At 36.9% G+C, this 24,841-nt stretch overlaps 1 long non-coding RNA gene across 8 annotated transcripts in view; it reads right to left on the reverse strand.

Annotated features, from left to right (window-relative positions):
- LOC105369468 (uncharacterized) overlaps positions 1-24,841 on the reverse strand; it is a 383,452-nt gene that overhangs the window by 318,078 nt on the left and 40,533 nt on the right. For 3 of the 8 annotated variants that reach the window (XR_947973.2, XR_001748356.1, XR_001748359.2), the window contains exon 3: positions 20,193-20,252. The exons of 3 other annotated variants lie outside the window; for them this stretch is intronic. This is a non-coding gene — a long non-coding RNA (uncharacterized LOC105369468). Of the gene's footprint in view, positions 1-18,419; positions 18,661-20,192; positions 20,551-24,841 lie in introns of those variants that run through there. 2 more of the 8 variants (XR_001748358.2, XR_007062870.1) reach the window with 2 other exon arrangements.

The raw sequence follows: 24,841 nt of genomic DNA on the forward strand, positions 1-24,841 counted from the left end.
TCTAGGGCATTGTTTCAAGACAGTTGCATAGTTAGTTATCTTCCTGCCACCAGGACATAAATTAAGCTATTCATTAACCAACTAATATTGTTAAATGTCTACTATAAGAAGGCCTTCAGGGAATACAAAAAGATGCTAATATTTTGTTCTCAAAGAACTCATAATTTAGATGAGAAGAAAATGCTCAGTCAAATGAAAAATCAGTTAATAACAGTGAGTTAAATTGGAATGTAATGTGAGTTCAAAGGTTATTAGATATTATAAAACTGTCCAATGGATAGTGCAGATAATATTTCTGTTATCCATTTATACTTCACAGCATTTTAGCTAGGCATTGGAGGATAGAATTAAAATTTTGAGTACTTTGTAGCCCACTCCTTTGCTTCAGTAGCAGACTATCATAAAACTTGATTTCCTCCTGGGGCCATCTCATCTCAACTTGCCTTTAACTGACCATTCCAGGCTACCTAATACCTGAACAGAGCACAGACAACTCCTGTACTGACATCAGTATCCATACCCAGGATAAGCTGCTGTGTTGATTTTTTGACCTACTTTTCCTCTTGAGACTTCAAATTAAAAGATGGCTATGTACCAATAATGTTAGTGGGTACCTTAGGGGATATAAAAATGAAGATGTCATGGTTGTCATTTATATTCTCATGTCTTGTGGGATAAACACATAGGTATAAACAATCCAAACCAAGTAGAGTATGATGAGAGCCTTAATAAAGGTAGAAATAAAGCTGTTGTGAACTGACTTTAACCCAATCTAATAAATATGGCCCAATGTAATAATATAAAAGATCTACCAATGTAAACATTCAGACCCTTTGTGAAAGTTCCTTCAGATTTCCCCTTCCTCATCCTGCTCCTCTGTAAAATGGCATCTGACTGTGTGGTAGAGGAAGCAATGTTTAAATGACTTTGGAGATTTAATACAAAAACAGGAACTCATAGTGCGAGGATCTTCGGGAACCACACAAATTATGATATTTGAGGTGTTTGTCTTGTCTAAAAACTGAATCAGTGATTGATAGGCTGCAATTTGTTCTCCCTGACTCTTTGGATTAAGATTGTGGGTGGTTAGAGATGACATACTAGTACCTATCATACTGGTCATATCTATGCCCTCAGGGCAGATAGAATCTTTTGGGGTTCCTGCACACTACGTAATAGTTGATAGCCAGGACCTCTGTTCCAGGCCCACGTGTTTGGATCCCTCCTACCAATGAGTCTATGCTATTTTAGAAGTGGTTCCTTTCAGACCTCCCTACAAGCTTACAGCCCCTTGCTAGTATCCCAAGAGAAGCATGACACAAGTCCAATGTTCTGAGCTACTCCATCTCTCAGCGCATATTTCCCCAAAATTGATCAATTACCAAGTAGCAGTGCTTTTGAAGTTCATGCCTAAAAAGGCAAATTTAAATCTTTTTCTTCTTCTATCATATATTCTTACTACTCTTAAACAGAAAACCTTGTAACTGTCATTGGTAAAAGGGATATCTTCTCTAGAACTACAGAAGAAATTCTATAATCTAGGTCTTTAGACTTGGTTCATATTATTTTAGAGAAATTCGCAAAGTTTGTTTGCTGTCCAAATCTAATAATAAAGCCTAGTATTTTGATGTACAATCTTATTTTGGTTGTTGGATGTTTAATATTAGCTATATATATTTTTATTACTTGATTATTCTAATAAAGATATGCCTGTCCCTACTTTTTTTTTTTTTTTTTTTTGAGACCGAGTTTCACTCTTATTTCCCAGGATAGAGTGCAATGGTGTGATCTCGACTCACCGCAAAGTCCGCCTCCCAGGTTCAAATGATTCTCCTGACCCAGCCTCCCGAGTACCTGGGATTACAGGCATGAACCACCACACTGAGCTAATTTTTGTATTTTTAGTAGACACGGGGTTTCTCCATGTTGGTCAGGCTGGTCTCGAACTCCCGACCTCAGGTGATCCGCTCACCTTGGCCTCCCAAAGTGCTGGAATTACAAGCATGAGCCACCGCGCCTGGCTGCCTGTCCCTACTCTTTCATGCAGGTAACAGGTACAGTCATATATACAGAAATATAAACAAAAAAATAGAGCACCTTTTTTTAAAACGATTTCTCCATTTGACTCTGCTATAAGGGATTGTATCAGAACCTGTAGGATATGTGTGTGTCTGTATATGTGTGTGTGTCTCTGTGTGTGTGTATCTCCAGTATTGTCACAGTATACATCAAGAGAGAGATTTGGCAGGCTGGAAATTCTAGGGCAGAAGGTGACTCTGCAATCTACCAGTGGAGTTTCTTTTTTCCTTGGGAAAACCTCAATTTTGCTCTTAAAGATCAGCCTTTCAACTAATTGGATGATCTCATTTACTTAATGTCAACTAACTGTAGATATTAATCACTTCACAAAATAACTGCACAACACCCCCTTACATTAGCGTTTGAGTAGCTAGGTGCCACAGCTTAGCCTAGTTGAAAAATGATAATCACAGAGCCTACATTAAATTGGTGATAACTGGAAGGGAATAAAAGGGATCAATTATGAACAAACAAATAACTAGATAAAACAGGCAAAGGTAACAAAGCGCTAAGAATAATGTGAAAGGTTTACTTTGGTAACTGCGAAAGTGGTGTACATGTAAAAAAACAATAAGTAGCTTATTTGGAGAAGACGTTAACTAATTCAGTTTTAGATGCTAATGAATGTGAGTTAAATAATCAAATTATTGGAGGTATTTTGCCCAATCAATATATCTTAATTGAACTGCTGAAGGGATGGACATACAACCTCCACTGCCCAGCTCTGGACACAGCTGATTGGGCTGGTAGTGTATATCTGACCAAATCTGAAGAGTTAATTTAGCCAATCAGGTTCTTATCACACTTAAATAACCACACACACAAGCTAGTCAAATGGTCAGGGGTCCTACAACTATAGAAACTTGGAGTCCTGGAAGTGGCAGCCTTGAAAGTGCAACTGTATGTTGTATAGTCCAGCCCAGAGAGAAGAGAATCTTAACTTAGATGAGATAGGCTAGATAACTCTAGCCTTAAAGGTGGAGAACATAATTTTAATCCCTATCCTTCTTCATATAGCTTGGCTGTGTCCCCACTCAAATCTCACCTTGAATTGTAATAATCCCCACATGTCAAGGGTGGGGCCAGGTGGAAATAATTGAATCATGAGGGCAGTTTCCCCCATACTGTTCTCAAGGTAGTGAATAAGTATCACAAGATCTGATAATTTTACAGGTGGGAGTTCCCCAGCACAAGTTCTCTTTTGCCTGCTACCACATAAGATGTGCCTTTGCCTTCTGCCATGATTGTGAGGCCTTCTCAGCCATGCTGAACTGTGAATCCACTAAACCTCTTTCCTTTATAAATTACTCAGTCTCCAGTATGTCTTTATTAGCAGCATGAGAATGAACTAATACTGTAAATTGGTACCGAATACTGGGGCACTGCTCTAAAGATACCCGAAAATGTGGAAGCGACTTCAGAACTAGGTGACAGGCCGAGGTTGGAACAGTTTGGAAGGCTCAGAAGAATACAGGGAGATGTGGGAAAGTTTAGAACTTCCTAGAGGCTTTTTGAATGGCTTTGACAAAATGCAGCTCATTACAGATAGAGATAAGGAACTTGTTCAGAACTGGAATAAAAGTGACTCTTGCTATGTTTTGGCAAAGAGACTGGCTGCATTTTGCTCCTGCCCTAGAGGTTTGTGGATATTTGAACTTGAGAGGGATGATTTAGGATATCTGGTGGAAGAAATTTCTAAGCAGTGAAGTGTTCAAGGGTTGACTTAGATGCTGTTAAAAACATTCAATCTTATGTATTCACAACGATATGGTTTGGAATTGGAACTTAAGTTTAAAAGGGAAGCAGAACATAAAAGTTAAGAAAATTTAGCCAGGTGCGGTGGCTCATGCCTGTAATCCCAGCATTTTGGGAGGCCGAGGCAGGCGAATCACAAGGTCAGGAGACCGAGACCATGGTGAAACCCCATCACTACTAGAAAATACAAAAAATTAGCCGGGAGAGGTGGCGGGCACCTGTAGTCCCAGCTACTCGGGAGGCTGAGGCAGGAGAATGGCATGAATCTGGGAGGCGGAGCTTGCAGTGAGTTGAGAATGGGCCACTGCACTCCAGCCTGGGAGACAGAGCAAGACTCCATCTCAAAAAAAAAAGAAAAGAAAAGAAAAGAAAAGAAAAGAAAATTTGCAGCCTAATGATAAGGTAGAAAAGAAAAACACATTTTCTCAGGAGAAATTCAAGCCAACTGAGGAAATTTGCATAAGTAATGAGGAGTCAAACGTTAATTGCCAAGACAATAGAGAAAATATCTCCAGGGCATGTTAGAAGTCTTCATGGAAGCTCCTCCCATCACAGGCCTGGAGGCCTAGGGGGAAAAAATTGTTTCCTGGGCCAGGCCGAGGGCCTTTGTACTTTGTGCAATCTCAAGACTTGGTGCCCTGTGTCCTAGCCATGGCTAAAAGGGGCCAAGGTACAGTTCAGGCCATGGCTTCAGAGGGTGCAAGCCCCAAGCTTCGGCAGCTTCCACTTGGTGTTGAACCTGCGGGTGCACAGAAGTCAAGAATTGAGGTTTGGGAATCTCCACCTAGATTTCAGAAGATGTATGGAAATGCCTGGATGTCCAGGCAGAGGTCTGTGGCAGGGGTGGCGCTCTCATGGAGAACCTCTGCTAGGGCAATATGAAAGGGAAATCTGGGGTTGGAGCCCCACACAGAGTCCTGGAGCACTGCCTAGTGGAGCTGTGAGATAAGGACCACTGTCCTTCAGATCCTAGAATGGTAGAACCACTGATAGTTTGCACTGTGTGCCTGGAAAAGCCGGACAGACAATCCAGCCTGTGAAAGCAGCTGGGAGGGAGACTGTATCCTGCAAAGCCACAGGGCAGAGCTGCCCAAGACCATGAGAATCCACCTCTTGATCAGCGTGATCTGGATATGAGACATTGAGTCAAAGGAGATCATTTTGAAGCTTTAAGATTTGACTGCCCTGCTGGATTTCAGACTTGCATGAGGCCTGTAGACCTTTTGTTTTGTCCAGTTTCTCCCATTTGGAATTGGTGTATTTATCCAATGCTTGTACCCCTTATTGTATCTAGGAAGTATATTAACTTGCTTTTGATTTTATAGGCTCATAGGTGGAAGGGACTTTCCTTGTCTTAGATGAGACTTTGGATTGTGGGCTTTCGAATTAATGCTGATATGAGTTAAGACTTTGGGGACTGTGGCAAAGGCATGACTGGATTTGAAATGTGAAGACATGAGATTTGGGAGAAGACAGGGCTGGAATGATATGGTTTGGCTGTCTTCCTACCCAAATCTCACCTTGAATTGTAATAATCCCCAGGTGTCAAAGGTAGGGCCAGGTGGAGATTGTTGAGTCATGGAGGCAGTATTTCTCATACTGTTCTTGTGATAGTGAATAAGTCTCACAAGATTTGATGGTTTCACAAATGGGAGTTCTTCTGCACAAGCTCTCTTTTGCCTACCACCATGTAATATGTGCCTTTGCTGCTTCTTTGTCTTCCACCATGATTGTGAGACCTCCTCAGCCATGCTGAACTGTGAGTCCATTAAACCTCTTTCCTTAATAAATTACCCAGTCTCGGGTATGTCTTTATTAGCAGTGTGAGAATGAACTAATACATTTCTAGACACTGATTTCATGATACCCGACTTTACTACATTTACTTTCTTTAAGCTTTATTATTATAAATATTCCCATTTTCTAAATGTATTTAACTTACATTGAATAAGTTTCAGTTCTTGGATTCAGGAGTAAAACCAAGTAGCATGAGGAAATTGACTTGGAAATATCAGTACTATCTATTTTCAATCATTTGCTAACTCAATGTTTACTTAGTGTGTTTGCTGGTGGTAAAAAGGAGAAAGAAGGAATTTTAAAATTGGGACCAAAATGAGTCTGAATGTAGTTTAATTGAAAAAATAATAGACTCCAAAAACAGCCGCACTTGCTGCAGCATGGTACTTGCAGGATCAAAACAAAATGTAAAGAAATACCTTCTGATACCTTGACTGCAATAATTAATTATTCAACCACATCCAGAGTTATAATCTGTAGTCTCTACCATATTTTCACTGCCCAATGTACTAATCTTGTCAAAAATTTCTACCCTATTCAGCTTAAATTCCTTGGCCCATCAAAAGCAATACTTTTTCACATAAGTCTCTAATGTCCTTGCCATTTTTGGCTTTGCCATTCTCCGCTGATAAAATCCCAACCACAGTTAATCCCAACTCTCTGCCTATTCCATACTTCCCTTCACTCAAAACATTGCTGGCAAATTATGCCCAATCATACTATCTGGCCAAAATTGAAATATACGACCACAAACCTTAAATGGGCTCTTCATGCTACCCAACAATCAGCTATGCTTCTTCAGTTCAGTCACATCTACTTGTCTGGACAATGTTTTTATACTTTCATCTCTACCATTAGAACTCCAACACTTCCTTCCTCTTCATCTATTCTCATTCTTACGAGGATGCTTATGCTTCCCACTCCACTGAGAAGAGAGCCAACCAAGTGCCTGAAATCCAGTACCATATCTTCCTGCCTACCTGTTAGATTGTAAAACTTCCCCAGGAGTCCTCGCTTGTTATGTCTATGAATCAGTTTCTTCCCTTCTACTGGCTGATTCCTAATAGCAACAGCTGGGAATTGAGGAAGGCAGAGTGGGAAGTGAGCATTAATGGGTGCAGGGTTCTTTGAGAGTAATAAAACCTTCTAAAATTACATTACAGTGATTGTACATGCCTGTAATTATACTAAAATCTAACACATTTTACAATTCAAAAAGGTAAATTTTACGGTATGTAGCATATCTCAATGAAGGTGTTTCATAAATATATATATATATATATATATATATATATATATATATATATATGAAAATCTTTGTGATCCTGTGGTTTGCAAAAATACCTTTGACAGCACACATACACACGCACACACACACACACACAGACATGCAAACATATAGTCATTACAAATTGTTGAACTGTTTTTTTTCAAAATGAAAAGATTTATCTTCATCAAAAGCCACTATGCTTACTACCTTAGCAATGGGATCATTACTATCTCAAACCTCATTCCATATGACCATGTAAAAAACCTGCACATGCACTGAATCTAAATTAAAAGTAGGAATTATTTTTTAAAAAGCTAAAAATAAGAGTAAACCAAAAAAGTCACTATTGCAAAACACATAAGCTACAGATTACATAAAATATTTACAATACATGTTGGACAAAAGACATACATACATGTTAAGAACCAAAACTCAATATTAAAAATTAAATCACCCAATTAAGCAATCAGAAAAAGATTTAGATTTTTTAAAATTATTTTTAACTATTTGGTTGAGACAGGGTCTCACTTTGTCACCCAAGCTGGAGGGCAGTGGCATTATCATAGCTCACTGCAGCCTCGACCTCCCAGGCTCAACCAACCCTCCCACCTCAGCCCCAGAGTAGCTGGGACTACAGGCGTGTGCCACGACTCCCTGCTAATATTTTTTTTCCAGTGAATTGTTTGAACTTTTTGAGAGATGGGCTCTCACTATGTTGTTGAGGCTGGTCTTGAACTCCTGGACTCAAGCAATCTTCCTGCCTCAGCCTCCCAATGTGCTGGGATTACAGGCATGAGCCACCACACCCAGCCTGATTTGGATATTTTATTAATAAAGGCATACAAATTAATAGTAAGTAAATAAAACTGTGTTCAAACTATTTGTCATCAGAGGAAATGAATAAGCTATTTGAAACCACTACATACCAACTAACATAATTAAAGTTAAAAAATAATAATGATAACTGAAAACATGAATATAGGTGAGGATGTGAAGCAAGCAGAACTGTGGCTCATTGACAGTAGAAATAATAAATTGTACCAATTTGGAAACCTATTTGGCAGTTTCTTATAAAGTTCCACATCACTTTTCTATGACCCATCAATTCTGTTTCCATTTATTTATTAAAAAGAAATAAAAACATATATTCACAAAAAGACTAGTACAAGAATGTTCATAGTAGATTTATTTACATTAGCTCTAACTGGAAATATCCCAAGTGTCTATCAATAGATGATTTAAAATTTTTTGTTTATATATATATATATGTATATGTATATATGCCAAATACCAAATATATATGTGTGTGTATATATACGTATTTTTTTTTAGTCTTGCTCTGTTGCTCAGGCTGGAGTGCAGTGGCATGATCTTGGCTCACTGCAACCTCTACCTCCTGGGTTCGAGCAATTCTCCTGCCTCAGCCTCCTGAGCAGCTGGGACTACAGGCACATGCCACCATCCCTGGCTAATTTTTCTATTTATAGTAGAGATGGCATTTCATCCTGTTGGCCAAGCTGGTCTCAGACTCCTGACCTCAGGTCATTCACCCACCTCAGCCTCCCAAAGTGCTGGGATTACAGGCATGAACCACCGCACCTGGCCGTTTTGGTATATTTGTAAATGCAATACTACTCAACAATTAAAATTGACAACTGATATATACAACAAAATAAATGAATTTCAAAAATATTACATAGAACAAAAGAAGCATATGCAAACGAGTACATCCACATGATTTGCTTTATATGAATTTCAACAAAGGACAAGACAAATCTGTGGCAATAAAAGTCAAAACACCAGATGCCTCTTGGTGTGGGGACATTGACTGGAAAGAGGTATGAGAAGTTTCCGGGATGACAAAACAATTCTAAATCTTGATTAAGGTGTTAGTTACATGAGTTTACATATTTGTTAAAATATATTAAACTATGGAAGAAGATCTGTTTATTTCTCTACATGTAAATTATACCTTATAAAAATAAAAACAAGTTAACATCCTCAGTTGGGTTAGTTATCAGGTGGAAGTCAAGGCTGGAAAGATGGAAATGCATATTGTTCAATATTTTACAGTATTGTATATATTTTGTGAAATTATTTTCTTTGAAAATCCGGATAATCACAGAAGAAAAAAGCTAAATAGCAGAATATTAGTGATGTATGCTGTTCATAAAGTCAAGCTTATAGCAAGGTGTTACAAGAAAGAGATGAACTCGGAAGCATTAGCTATTTTGAGAGCACAGTGAATTTATATCTGGAGAATTCAAAAACCTGGGTCTTGCAGGGTTAGAAAAGCCAACTGCTTTTAAATCCCAAACTCAAAAAGGCCCACTAAGATCTTATAGTTGAATAAGGACTTAGCCCTGAGCAGAGAGGGGTTGAAGAGCAAGGAGACACATTGACAGAGTTAAAATCCCTGAGCCTCAAGATGGCTGTTGTTAATTTCAGAGGGAGAAAGAAAAAGACAAGGAGGCAAGATCGTAACAAATAAATCATGCTAGATATTTACCGTTAGCAAAGAATTTTAGTATAGTTACAGATATGTGGTACTGAATGAGTTGCTTAGATTGATTTGTGCAAGAAATGTGAAGCAAACTAAACCACATCCTGGCCTAAAAATACTCTCAATCTTCCACTTGCAGAATGTGGCTATAGAATGTCAGGAGGAGGACATTCTCCAAGGAGGACATATTCCCTAATGTTCATTTCAAATGAGGCAATGGACCTCAGGAGAAAAAAATTGGAGAAAAGATTTGTTCCCTGATAGAAGAGTCAGGGTCTACTCAGGTAAGTTTCTCTACTACCAGGTTAGAGAATTTTACAAAGCCAATTTCATAGGATTTTCTTATTGCTATGGACTCTGCAATACATCCTTTTCCCAATAAGACTTTCAGTGCAGTTTGCAAGTCTCCCATAATTGATCACTGGAGAGTAGATCATTGTCTTTTGTCTATTAGTTGTCAGAGTAGGATGTCATACCGGATGAAAAGAACTGTACACCACCCACAAATCTCTCCTGTACCTCAAGCTACACACCTCACTTAGATAGGGTAGTAATGTGTACTCCTGATGGACAGGCAATCGAGGAATTTGTAGGCTATATCAAAGAGTGTAATCCTTACCTTATAAGCAGTGGCCAGCCACTGAAAGGTTTTAGCTTACATGGCATGTGATCTGATGCATGCATCAAGAATGCCTTTCTAGTTTCGGTGTGTTGATTAGATTGGAAGTGGATCAGAATAAATAATGGGCAGTAAATTAGGTTTTATAGCAATCAAGTTGAAAGATGGTGATAGCTGGTACTAGACTTGTGACAAAGGAGATTTAGCATAGTGGAACAATATGAGAAATATTTAAAAGGTAATGCTAATTGAACATGGAGTGCATTGTAAATAGTGAGAGAGGATGGTAAGGGGGGTGGAATTTTTACATACAATATTTACTTGGAGGATGGTGTAATTTGCTAAGTAAACAGCTAGAAAATCAGGTATAGAAGAATAGCTTGAAATTGGACGTATTGGATACCATGTGTTTGAAGTCTCTTGGAAAAATCTAGTGTATTGAATTCATTACAGATGTCTATGCCAGACATTTCACTTACCAATAATTAGTATAATAATAATGACTGAGGCTTGGGAATTAAATTAGCCTGAGAAGAGACTATGAAAATAAAAACAAGAGGAAACAATGCAGGAGGTGACAGACAAAATAGCCAGTATAGAGATGAATGTAAACTACCTGATAGAGCTGAAAAACACACTACAAGAATTTCATGGCCGGGCATGGTGGCTCATGCTTGTAATCCCAGCACTTTGGGAGGCCGAGGCAGGCAGATCACAAGGTCAGGAGATTGAGACCACCCTGGCTAACATGGTGAAACCCCGTCTCTACTGAAAATACAAAAATTAGCCGGGTGTGGTGGCAGTCGCCTGTAGTCCCAGCTACTTGGGAGGCTGAGGCAGGAGAATGGTGTGAACCTGGCAGGCGGAGCTTGCAGTAAGCCCAGATTGGGCCACTGCACTTCAGCCTGGGCGACAGAGCGAGATTCCATCAAAACAACAACAATGACAACAACAACAACAACAACAACAAACAATTGAATTCTTGGACACAGAGTGTAGAAGGATGGTTAACAGAGGCTGGGAAGGGTAGTGGCAGGCTCAGGAGGAGGTGGGGATGGTTAATAGGTATGAAAAATAGAAACAGCCAGGCGCCGTGGCTCACGCCCGTAATCCCAGCACTTCGAAAGCCGAGGCGGGTGGATCACCTGAAGTCAGGAGCTCGAGATCAGCCTGGCCAACATGCAGAAACAGCGTCTCTGCTAAAAATACAAAAGTTAGCCAGGAGTGGTGGTGCTCTTCTGTAGTCCCAGCTACTAGGGAGGTTGAGTCTGGAGAATCTCTTGAACCCAGGAGGCGGAGGTTGCAGTGAGCCCGCCATTGCACTCCAGCCTGGGCGACAGAGTGAGACTCCATCTCAAAAAAAAAAAAAAAAAAAAAAAAAATAGAAAGAATGAATAAGACCTACTATTTGATAGCACAATAGGGTAACTATAGTCATTAATAACTTAATTGTACATTTTTAAATAACTTAAAGTGTGTAATTGCATTGTTTGTAACTCAAAGGATAAATGCTTGGGAGATGGATACCCTATTCCTTGCGATCTACTTATTTCACATTGCATGCCTGTATCAAAACATCTCATGTACTCCATAAATATATACACTTAACTATGTAACTGCAAAAATTTTAAAAATATACAAAAAAATTTAAAAACTGAATTAAAGAGCATTGTAGATAATTGTATTTTTCAAAAAATAGGTAAAATATCTGGTATATAACAGTTTAAAAAAAAAACAAAATTCCTGTGTTATCAACTCTGTGACCTTAGAACTACCTTGTTACATTTTCAAAGATTAACTCTCCTTAAAAAATAAATGTACAAATTATTACAAGCCAGAATTGTTGCAAATCTTTTAAAATATATTTCACACTCATCATTTGTAATTACCATAGATTAAAAGGATGCTTGAAAATTTCACTGAAGAAAAGGTTATTATTTTTATGAGGTGAGAGAGATAAATAGAAAGCCTCATGACTTTGTTACTGTATAATAAGACAATGTAATATTCAGCTGACTTTTTTTCAGTAGTTATCAATGTCATTTTTCTGTCATATTATTTCAAGATAAGAGAAAAATAGCTACTCTTGGCCACAGCTACTCTGAAATATTTCATTAATGTGGCTCACATTATTTTTATTTACTCATTCTCTTTTTGTCCCCTCTTGAAGAAGAGTAATTAAAATGTTGGCTGGGAAGGAACTTAACAGACACTAAATAACCCCAAAGAGAAAAATGTTTCTGTGTTTACCTTTTAATGCTTTTTATTCCATTGCCATGTTAGAAAGTAAACTCTTTTATGGTGGAAAATGTCTTTAATTTTATTATCAAAGTTTAATCTCTAAAGAGGTCTTCTGTTTTACAAAGTCTTCTAAGTCAGTTGGTATCTAATAAAGGCTGTTGATTAAAACTAGGAAACAACATTTAAAAGTACAGTCTGCTAGACGTTTGGTCACTTTATTTTCTATTAAATATTTATGCTACATCTACATAGCTTTAATGTATGAAATTTAATTTTGCAGAATTTCCCTGAGGTGGCCTGTGGTGTGGAGGTAAGGGAGAATGTCAGGCTAGAAATAGACTTAAGATAATGTAGTGCTATCTCTCCATCACCAGAGAGCAATACATTTAAAATTTAAAAGTGCTGTGTTACCATCAGAGCAGGGTCCAAGAAAGAAGAGCTACTGGCTGCAAGCCTTCAGGTAAACTGTGAAATCAAAAGGCATCGTTCGGTTTTATCAAGCAAACAGCTACAGTCATCACTTTGTGAACAACTTGAGAAAAAGATGCAAGACTGTTGTTGCTTGCCTCTTCTTAAAGAATTACTGGTTGTACAAAGCAGAAACTTCAAGCATGTCTATGTGCTGAGCTCAGAATTGTGTTGTATTAGCTTCACTTTGAAACGTCTAAAGATTTCCAATTTCATTCTGCTACTCACCACTTCTCTCCTTCTCAGATTGGCTGCTAAGAGCATACATTCCTTTTTTTTTTTTTTAAACAGGAAGAAAACAGTTCTTCTATGTGAATTTCATCTTGCCAGAGAATAAATTGTACGAAATGAATGGTATTTAGGATACTTTGGGGGTGCCAAATTACGCATTTGATATACTTCAATGGACACATGTGTTCACAAACACTTGTTTAATCAATTATCTCACCAGAATTCTTCACCAAAATAAAAAATATTTAACTTACATTCTTATAGAAAAGAAAGTCAATGAAAAGGTTAAAGTAGTTCTAGTTTATACTTGGTCTGAAAAAATATATTTTATGTTTCTTTATTCAATTTAGATGTGCTAACTTTTGCCTTTCAGATTTTTAATACGGAGACTGGAGAACTTTAATCTTACCCTTTTTTTAGATTTTGATAACCTTTAGCTTTTTTTTCCTCCTTTCAAATTTTAAATTCTTTTTAAAAATGCATTTAGTTATCTAATTTAAGCAGCCTTTTTGTGGTTTGGTTTATGTGGAATTATAAATATAGCTGGTCAAGAGCAATAAGACTATTCATACTTTTCCTCTTCAGTGACAGTGTATGAAGGGAGGAGATTTGTCTTGTAAGCCTGAAGCCAACCTTTCACTTTGTTCTGAATTCGCTGCTCCGTGTTACCATGGGAAACTCCAGCACTCATCAAGGCTGGCTGAACCCAGCTGGCTGCACGGAGCTTTCACAGTGACTTGGGCACTGGGGACAAGCTGGCTCATTTACTAACATCTGACTTTTTGGCCCAAAGTACAAAATCTCATAAGCAGCACTTACAAAAGGCTCGATTTTTCAGGATGTCAAGTTTTGTGACAACCTTTTTTTTTTTGGAAAAGACATACTGTTTTCTCTTTAGTCCAACTAGCTATTGCATTGACAACATTTCTTTTTGGAAAGAATAGCTGAGGAATTTAACTGAAAAAAATTAATAGGAGAAATAAAAACTCTAAATGATCCAAATTGGGGCAGAGGTATAGCTAAAGCAGCAAATCACTCAAATGAATTCAACAACATTTAGTTCCCAAATTCAATTTTCTACAGTAAACCTTGTACAGTCTATAGATGCTTAGTGAATTGGATTCCATTCCCACTGAAGCCATTCTTCAAACAAACAAACAAACAAAAATTCAATATATACACTCTTTTATACTCTAACTTCAGTTTGACAAGAGGGCTTTGTATTAGCAGAAGGATCTTGCAGCTCGAATATATGAATAATTTTCCTAAAATTTACATAAGACTACAATATCAATAAAGTATCATTAAACGATTAAATAGCTTTCATATTATGTTGCTCCAAACAAGTAAGGTTTTTACTTTCTTAATAAAGGGGTGAGGAATCTGAGAAGTGGGTTGAAACAAAGGTAACATATTGATTATATCAAAATCTTTTCCACAGTAATTATCATTTAAAAGCTTCTAGGTGCACACAGCAGGCCAGAAGTCAAGGGTACATGAGATCAGCACTAAATCAGCAACAGATATAGATATGGCCACAGCAGTAGAGAGGTGCAGAACCAGAGTTAAACATTAGACATCAAAGAGAGAACAGAAAGTCTAGTGAGTAGAATGGCAAGAGAGTCCTGGGTAACTAACTAAATCAGTGATAAGAAAGGTAAATGGGATGACAGAAGGTGAGGACCTTAAGAAGGAAAGTCAGACAATACACGTCCATTTTAATAGACACTGCTCTCTCTCTGGCAGAGCTACCATCTAAACACTGAGTTTTGAACATGAAGACAAATAGTTGAGATTTTGAGACCTAACTAAACATTCTTTTGAATTAATTATCCTGAAGAACTCGGTAGTAAGCAAGTTAATTTCTTTCTTTCTTTCCTTTCTTTGTTTTTTTTTTTTTTTTTTTTTTGAGACGGAGTCTCACTCTTTTGCCCAGGCTGGACTGCAGTGGCGCTATCTCGGCTCACTGCAAGCTCGCTTCCCGGGGTCATGCCATTCTCCTGCCTCAGCCTCCCAAGTGGCTGGGACTACAGGCGCCCGCTACCACGCCCGGCTAATTTTTTGTATTTTTAGTAGAGACGGGGTTTCACCGTGTTAGCCAGGTTGGTCTCGATCTCCTGACTTCGTGATCCGCCCACCTCGGCCTCCCAAAGTGCTGGGATTACAGGCGGGAGCCACCGCGCCTGGTCAAGCAAGTTAATTTCTATGCCTAGTCTTTCTCTCTCTCTCTCTCTCTCTCTCTCTCTCTCTCTCTCTCTCTCTCTCTCTCTCTCTCTCTCTCTCTATATATATATATATATGTATATGTATATGTATATGTATATATATGTAAATGATGATGCTTCAAAAAATAATTTAGGTATTTATTTTCTGCATTCCACCACTAGAATGAAAAATAGTAGTATCCTCTTCTATCATGTTCATAAGTCTGTCTCCAGCTGGTAGCATAAGACTGACCTGTATCAATTGTTGTACAAGTATTTGGTGATCGGATTCATTATTAGCTATCTTTCTTTTGGAGTTTTCCTTCACTCTTGAAATTATAAATTATGTTTCCTAACACTACAGTTTCAGTTTCTGTTTTACTACATATGAAAACTGAACATCTCTACTATAGATAGATTAGCACTGTTCAGCAGCAACAGTGATTACTGCCAAATACCATTTCTCTGTTGGAAACACATCCAGAATTCTAGGAGCTTATAAAGTTGAAAAAGTGACATATGGTATAATTGCATTAAAGAGGAAAGAAGTGTAAATTCACAATGTATCTTTACAAAAACAAGCAAACAATATTTTGGAAAGAAATATTTCTATCATAAAGCACCATTAACACATACTATTAACAATATTTATTAGTTGCTAATATAATTCCCCAAAAAATCTATGAATCATGAAGACTGATGTCTTTATATAATCTTTGGAATTGCTAGAGGATTATATCTTTTGACAACTTCGTTGTGTAACAAGAAAACAATAGATATTACAAACCTAGGAGAGTATTTGCCTTTATTTTTTGTTCTGTAATAGCATGGTGTAAAGTAGTGAAGTCCTTTTATAGATATCCTAAGACAGATACTGCTACCCATGCCAGGGAAAATTCCCAAACCTGACAAAATGTAAATTAACCTAGTCTAGTTGTTTGTTGTCAAGGAGTTAGATTATTTGATACAACACATGGCAACAGAAATCAATGTCTCTTGAACAAGGCTGAATGGATCCGTTCACTTAATGGGGGTGGAAGGTGGACAGTCCCCATTGATAGCTCTACTATCTAACCAAGGAAAATTTGGAGGGAACCCAACTACTCCCCATAAAACATTCCACTGTTTACTTTTGGCATTGTAGGAGGTCAATAAATAACTTCCCTATTTTCTTGACAAATACAGAAATCACAGGGTGAGGGCCAAGATTCACACAAATGGAGATCAAAATAACAGGTCAGACTGGGAAGCATGGTTAGATCTATGGCAACAGTGGGCTTCTTAATGGTGTACTCAGAATTAAATTTATCCATCTTGCCACCGACTATGCTGAAAATTCTAGGGTTTCTCCAAAAAGGCTGTGCCTCTAACACTTATGACATAGAGAGGCAAAGAAAACCCAATGGGAATGGGCAAGAATAATCAATTCCTTTTCTCATATTCACCTATCACATATGATTTTATCTAATAGGCTGGGCACCAAAAGGGAACAGGGAAGAAGTCAGGATCACCCTAGAAAGTCCTTCCCCATGGGACACTAAGGAGTGGGAGGAAGAGTTATCCCCCAACGTCATTATTCCTTCCACCTCCCTTGCTAGTTTTCTTTCCCGAATGGGTATAGAAGAATTCCATTTTATCTCCTTTGCTTTTTTCTTACTCTTCTTATATTCCCTTCTCTCTCATTCATGTTCTACTACATTTACAATATAAATTTCATTACTAATTAACTATTCAAAGATAAATCTGTTCTGTAAGAAAAGATGCTAAGGTACTTAAGAGAGAAGGAAATCCCGATGAAATATGCCTCAACTGAAACAAAATTAGGAGAAAGCAAAATCACCTATAGTTTACTGAAAGCAAAGGGATTTCATTACATATTAATGTGAACTGAATTGTCATGGAGGGTAGAAGTGTAAGAAGAGCCACAGGGAGATTACTTGAAAACAAAAGCTGCATAAACACTGAGAGAAAGATCCTGCCCCCAACCACCTGTCTTGGGTACAACAGCCAAAAATATAAAAAAATGTGTATCAAAAATAATGAGGGTTTTTCATGTTAACCGTAATGGAATATTTCAGAAAATGTAGTGCTTCACTATTAAGGCAGAGCACCTGCAAATAGTGCAAAACTTCAGACACAGAAAAGCTGTAGCTTTGTAACATTTTATTAGCAAAAGTTGCAAATAATAAGAAATCATTTAAGTAGCCTTAAGACAACAAAGAAATCTTAAAATGTCAAAAAATGTATACTACTTTAAAATAGCATCGCATCCCTTCCATGTTTCTGATAAAAGATGAGTTTACATAGTCATTAAAATCTATGCTCCTTTATCTACTGTTTTTATGAAAAATAAATGTGATTACTAACCATGTAACATACATGCCTTTGAGGACTCAGCCATCAGACAACGAACAAACTGTGCTACTGCAGTTATGCTGCATGATAATATAAAGTTGTATACTGAAAGAAGGAGCCTTGAAGATTTTTCACCCCAAATAAAAAAATAGTGAATCATTTCTAGTGTTTTGATATGAGCATAAATATAAAATCTCACTTTAATACTGAATGCATGAAGAGCAGATGAACAAAGCTGCTCAAGAGCAGCTGGCGGATGGTCAGGCTGGAGATGCAGGAGCTAAGGGTTAAGGGCTGCTGCAGGTCAAGAACAGCCAGGGGTCTTGACCTTAGGGCCTTGAAATGGAGCTTATGCAATTTCAGTTCTGCCTAAGTGGGTGAAATGAAAGATAGAGAATGTAGGAATTTAGCATGGGAAGGAAAAAACAGGTCAAGGCAGGCAGGTTTCAGCAGATATAAAATTCCCAAGCAAATCGAAATCCCAAGTGTGGCTGACTCTAGATCTAGATTATTTTTACTTTGAATATTTTAATACATTTTGTCAGGCATAGGAGCCCATGACTTATAAGTAGCTATGGGAAATGGTTATAATCAATGGAAAAGTCAGAAATCTCAGAGAAACTCTTTACCCAAGCCCTTTTTCTTAAAACTACCAACATACGGACACAAGTGTGACCTACAGTTCCTGTTTTGTTTTGTTTTTCCAGAAAATAGAAGGAATATTCAATTTCGATGCCCACGCTCTTTACTCAAAGTGTTCCACTGCCTTTGTGGCCTCTGAATCTTCTACCTTTGTTCAATTTTCCAGTGTTTAGATCCGAAAACAGAATTAAATTTCTGCAGATTCAGTCGTTCATGTTGTGTTAGGGCTCCTGTAACAAAGTACCATACACTGAATTGCTGAAACAACAGAAATTTATTTTCTCACAATTCGGGAGACCAGAAGTCCGAGATTAAGGTCAGCAAGGTTGGTTCCTCCTGAGGGTGTGAGTGAGAATCTCTTTGAGGCCTCTTTCCTGGTTTCTGTGGTTTGCAGGCAATCTTTGTTAATCCTTGACTTGTAGAAACATTACCCCAATCTCTGTCTTCTTGTTTATGTGATGTTCTTCCTGTGTATCTGTCTGTGTCCAGACATCCCCTTTTTATAAGGATACAAATTCAACTGGATTACGGGTCCACCTCACTCCAGTATGAACTGATCTTAACGAAATACCTCTGCAATGATCCTATTTCCAAATAAGCTCACATTCTGAAGTTCTGAGAATTAGGAATTCAACATATAAATCTGGGGGAACACAATTCATCCCATAACAATACTTCTGATCACATGGTTTGCACACAAACCTTGTGCATGAATCTTATTTTAGACCCACCCACTCAAAGAGCTGATTGTAAAATAGAGTGGAGGACATTGATTAACCTGTTTTAAAACAGTAAATGTGATGATAATTTTGTTATAACCACTTAAAGTTTCATTTCATGAAAAATCGTACTTTATTTCAGTTTTATAGTACCACTATTTCCATCTTCATGCTGCCTCCTGACTCTTAACTTTTTTTTTTTTGGCTTTATAATTAGCATTCTCACAACAGTGATCTCTACAAGATTGCCTTTATATGACTTTAAAATCTCCAAATTGAAAGTCCTATTCTCAATGTCCTATTCTCAGTGTCCTCTGACTCTGAAAGGTTTCTGTTTAATGCCTTCTTTAGACTATCTCTGCTTCAGGATTCTAAGACAGTCAATCTCCTGCCTTTTTCCTTATTTCTCTGACCACATGTTTTTGATTGTTTTGTCTGTTTCTCCATATCACTTGTCCTTACATAAATATTTGTTGAATAACTGAATGGATGAATGAATGGGTTGATGTATGGATAGGTGGACGGATGAATAAATTTTGGACTTTAAACCAACAGGAAAATAGTGAAAAGTTTTAACAACAACAACAACAACAAAAAAAACCGGCTTGTCTATATTTCTAATATTTCCCCACTATCTTTTTCTCACTCCAGTTTTTCTCATACTTCTTCAAAATATTATTATTTCAAAAATTATCCTTGATCACAAACTTTATGGATATTCATTATTAAACAGGCAATAAAAACACATTACCCCAGAATAAAAAAGTCTTTCAATTCTCCTCCCTATTTTCATACTGGTACGCTAAGATCAATATCAAGTGTTTTTTTAGCCTAAGTTTTCCTATTTCTCTGATTTTGCTATTGCCTTTTTTTATTTCTCTGATTTTGCTATTGCTATTCTGCCTAGAATCTTGTTTTGCAAATAGTTTATTTACCTTTTCTTTAATAAAATTATCTTTAAATTTATTGTCAATTATTTTCCAGAAAAAAAAACAGTTTATTATCTGATATCTCTGTTTCCTAGGGGTGAAAATAAAGTCATTTATTTTACTCTGGGACTTTCTTAGATTCCAGTAATTCTTACTACTTCTCTATGATAGAAAATTAGTGGTTGTTCACTTCATACTAATAGTTATATTAAACTTTACTTATGAAATTTATAGAATTCTATAACTTAAAAAAAGCTCTATTTTTGATTTTTCCAGATCTTGGTGTTTTTAGGCAAAGGAGAACTAACATATGTCAGGCTCCATGAGCTATAAAAATTGTTTATGTGAGGATAATAAAAATGTTCAGAAGACAAACTTACACAAATTCATATTGGAGATCCAACATCTTTTAGTTTTAAGTATGTCCTTCAGAGAATAATCTGGAAAATTAAATAGAAGAAAACACATATTCTTTACAAATTTCTGTTCTTCTTTTCAAGATGATTGTTTTCATTATGTCGCTGTCACTGTTACTGGTTACACTAAAAATATTGGAAACTCTTGTAGATGAAGTGTATTGTTACTTGTCCTTAGAGAAGACTTGAAAACATCTTGAGAGAAGCACTTATAACATCAAAACTTACAGTTCTTTCATTTAAGTTGTTTTTAAAAATTATTCTAGTTTCCATTAACGTGAAGTGGGCTCTGAGTACAGGATATCAGCAACTTCATACAAGCCTTCAGAAAGCAAATAGTAATTGAGTTTTATATTAATTTTTAGTATTGTAGGATTTGCCATAATCAGAAAGTACATAGATAATTTTAAATAAACTTTTTAAAAATTTTAGAACACTTTTGAATTTCTGAAAAATTGCAGAGCTTTCATATGCCCACACCCACTTTCCCCTATAAATAACATCTTACATATGCTACGGTCATTATAATTAATGAAAGAGTTTAATACAGTATTAACTAAAGGCCGTAAGTTATTCAGATTTCCTTTGTTTTTACCTAAATCCTTTTTCTGTTCCAGAAGACTACATTATACTTTGTTGTCATATCCCCCTGGGGTTGTCTTGGCTGTGGCTTTCCCTCAGACTTACCTTGTCTTTAAGGACCTAGACAGTTTTAAGGAGTACTGAACAAGTATTTTGTATAATATCCTTCCATTGTGTCTCTCAATCTGCTATTTCTCTTATAATTAGACTGGGATATGGGTTTCAGAAAGGAAGATAATAGAGGTAAAGTGTTGTTTTCATTACATCATATCAGGAGTACATACTACCAACATGACTTACCACTGTTGATGTTGACCTTGCTGAAGTCAACTAACTGAGACAGTGTTTTCCAGGTTTCTCCACTATAAAGTTACTTCCGCACCAATGCTGCCCCATGCTCTTTGGAAGAAAGATGCCATGCACAGGCTGCGCTTAAAAAGCAGGAGTTATTCTCCATCTTTTTGAGGACAGAGTATCTATCTACACAGTAATTTGGAAACTTTTTGCATGCGAGATTTAACTTTCCTTCTCTGTTTATTTATTTTTATAAGTACAAACTCGATATTTAGTTTGTAGTTCAAACTATAATCTAATGATACCTTATTCATTATGTTACATTACAGCTCAAGATGTTCCAGCTTAGGCTGCTGAGGACTTACATTGGCTCCTGAGTCCCTTTGACATACCCTCCTCTATATGGGATATTATTCTGTTTTTGTTTTTGTTTTTGTTTTTCTGTTTTTATTATCACTTCCTTACTCTCTGGCATGCTCCAGAATAATCTTGAATATTTCCAGCCCTAGTTATAGAATGAGCCATTTTTCCAAGAAGCTGGGTTTCTTTCACTGGGGAATGATATTGGAAACAAAGGTTTGGCACTAGGTATGCTCACTGCTATTGGAGTGTTGTTGCTTCTAGGCCCTCTCAGCTAACAAAAAACGGGATGGTATGTGGGCACAATAACCCATTAATACACACACGCACACACATAAATTCCTATATGTAAATTTCCTTATCTTTTGTATCAAAATTAAACCAAACATGGGTTCATACTGACATCTTCCACTCCAGTCTAGTATCATATGGATCATTTAACCTCTTCGTAATGCTTTTGTGTAACCTTCCAACCCAACAGTGTAAAATTGAGCTCCCACCATCTTCCAACCATTTACTTAGTTGTTTAATTCAAGTATACATATATAGCAATCTCAGAATTTTTAACCTGCACCCCTATAGAAAATAGGTTTATCAACTAGAGTATAATGTTTATGTATAATTTCTCTGCCTTTAGTCTTAAAAAGTTCTGATATTTCCAAAGTTATTGAGGTCAGCAATTTTTCATCCCAACATACTACAAATGTTGTTTCATACATTTGTAGTATAGTTAGATTCTTTTGTAGACTCTGTATTCCATCCTGGCATCCCTAACCTTCAAATGAATTTTATAAATTTATATATGTTTAGGATTACTCTTTTTTTTATAAAGTTCTGTGGGTATATGTTTTGGCTGTGCCCCCACCAAAATTGGATCTTGAACTGTAGTTCCCATAAACCCCATGTGTGGTGGGAGGGACTGTGGGGGAGGTAACTGAATCCTAGGGGCAGTTTCCCCCATGCTATTCTTGTGATAGTAAGTTCTCAAGACCTGATGGTTTTATAAGGGGCTTTCCCTTTTGCTCGGCTCTCATTCTTTTCCTTCCTGCTGCCATATGAAGGACATATTTGCTTCCCCTTCTGCCATGATTGTAAGTTTTTGGGGGCCTCCCTAACCATGTGGAGATGTGAGTCAATTAAACCTCTTTCCTTTATAACTACCCAGTGTTGGGCAGTTCTTTATAGCAGCATAACAATGAACTAATAGAGTAACTTGTCTTGGTACTAAAATCTGTATTAGGGTCCTTAGAGGGACAGAACTAATAGGGTGTATGTATATATGAAAGGATGTTTAATGAGAATGGAGCCACATGATCACAAGATAAAGTCCCATGATAGGCAATCTTCGAGTTGAGGAACAAAGAAACTAGTGGTGGATCAGTCCGAGTTCCAAAACCTCAAAAGTAGGGAAGCCGACAGTGCAGCTTCAGTCAGGGGCCAAAGTCCCAAGAGCCCCTGGCAAACCACTGGTGTAAGTCTAAGCGTCCAAAAGCTGAAGAACTTGGGAGCCCAATGTTCAAGGGAAGGAAGCATCCAGCACAGGAGAAAGATGAAGGCTGGAAGACTCAGCAAGTCTGCTCTTCCATCTTCTCCTGACTGCTTTATTCTAGCGGCACTGACAGCTGATTAGATGGTGCTCACCCAGATTGAGGGTCTGTTTCTCTCTCCCATTCCAGTGACTCAAATGTTAATCTCCTTTGGCAACACCCTCACAGACACACCCAGGAACAATACTGTGCATCCTTCAATCCAATCAAGTGGACACTCAATATTAATCCTCACAGTGGGTTTTTCAAATGCATAATGTCACATCTGTCATTATAGTACGATACAGAAGTTTGATCACTGTAAAAAAAAATTCTCTTGTATTTTAACTATTTAATTCTCTCAATTAGTTCCCAAGTTCCTGGCAGCCACAGATCTTTCCACTATCTCTATAGTTTTGCCTTTTTAAGAAGGTGATAAAATAGGAATCACACATTATATAGTCTTTAGACTGGCTTTTTTCACTTACCAATATGCCTTTAAGTTTTCCTTCATGACTTTCATGTTTTGATATCAGTAAATCAAGTTTGCTGAAGTTTTTATCATGCATGAGTGTTGTATTTTGTGAAATGCTTTTTCAATCCATACATATTTTGAGCAATAATTTTAAGTTTTCTGTTTTTGCACCATAAAGTTTATATTATTTCAAAATTAACTTATATTGGTTTTGATGATATTTCACATTTATTGACCTCTTATTATGTGCTAAAATGTTCTATCCAGTTTATATTACATTTAATAGCCTAATATTTTATGGGTATTCCACTGTACAGTTTGTCCCTTCACCTATGGAGGACAAATTGGTTGCTTCCAGCTATTGGCAATTATGAATAAAACTGCTATAAATATTCATGTGCAGGTTTTTGTGTGAACATACATATTTTCAAATTAGTTGGGCAAATACCAAGGAACATGATTGCTGGGGTCTATGATAAGACTATACTTAGCTTTGTAAGAAACTGGAAATCTGTTTTCAAAGTGACTGTACCATTTTGCATTCCCACCAGCAATGAATGAGAATTCCTGTTGCTCCATATCCTTGCCACCAACTTGTATTGTTCATTTTTGGGGTTTTATCTACATTAATGGGCATATAGTGGTATGTCATTGTTGTTTTAACTTGCAATTACCCAATAACAAATTAATACTGAGTATATTTATGTAAGGTTTTGTTTTTGACACTGCTCTGTCTTCTTTGGTGAGATGTCTGTTCAAATATTTTCCCCATTTTTTACTTGTGTTCTTTGTTTTCTTATGGATGAGTTTTAAACAATTTTTTCTATCTTTTCAATATAAAATCTATATCAGATATGTGCTTTGCAAATATTTTCTCCCAGTGTGTAGCTTATATTTTTATTCTTTTAACAGTTTTCCTCACAGAAGTTTTTCATTTCAATAAAGTCCACCTTATCAGTTTTTCTCATGGATTGTGCTTTTGGCTTTGTACAAACTTGTCACCAAACACAAGGCCAAATGGGTTTTCCACTATGTTTTCTTCTAGAAGTTTTATTGTTTAACATCTTATATTTAGGTCTATCGTTAGGTTCATGTTCCATTTTTAGTTAAGTTTTGTGAGATGTGTAAGGTCTGAGTGTAAGTTCATTTTTTTAATATGGACAAATAATTGTTTCATTAATTGTTTATACTACATTTAATATTTCCAACATATCTGTATTTCCCCTTTTATTGATACAATACCAACAAAATATAAAGACTGTCCTTTATCCATTGAATTGTAGTTTCTTCTTTGGCAAGAATCAGTTACCTATTTTGTATGTATCTATTTTGGGGCTCTTCATTCTGTTCCACTATCATACTGTCTTTATTATTGT

Source organism: Homo sapiens, chromosome 11 (assembly GCF_000001405.40).
Source record: "Homo sapiens chromosome 11, GRCh38.p14 Primary Assembly".
Taxonomy (NCBI): Eukaryota; Metazoa; Chordata; class Mammalia; order Primates; family Hominidae; genus Homo; species Homo sapiens.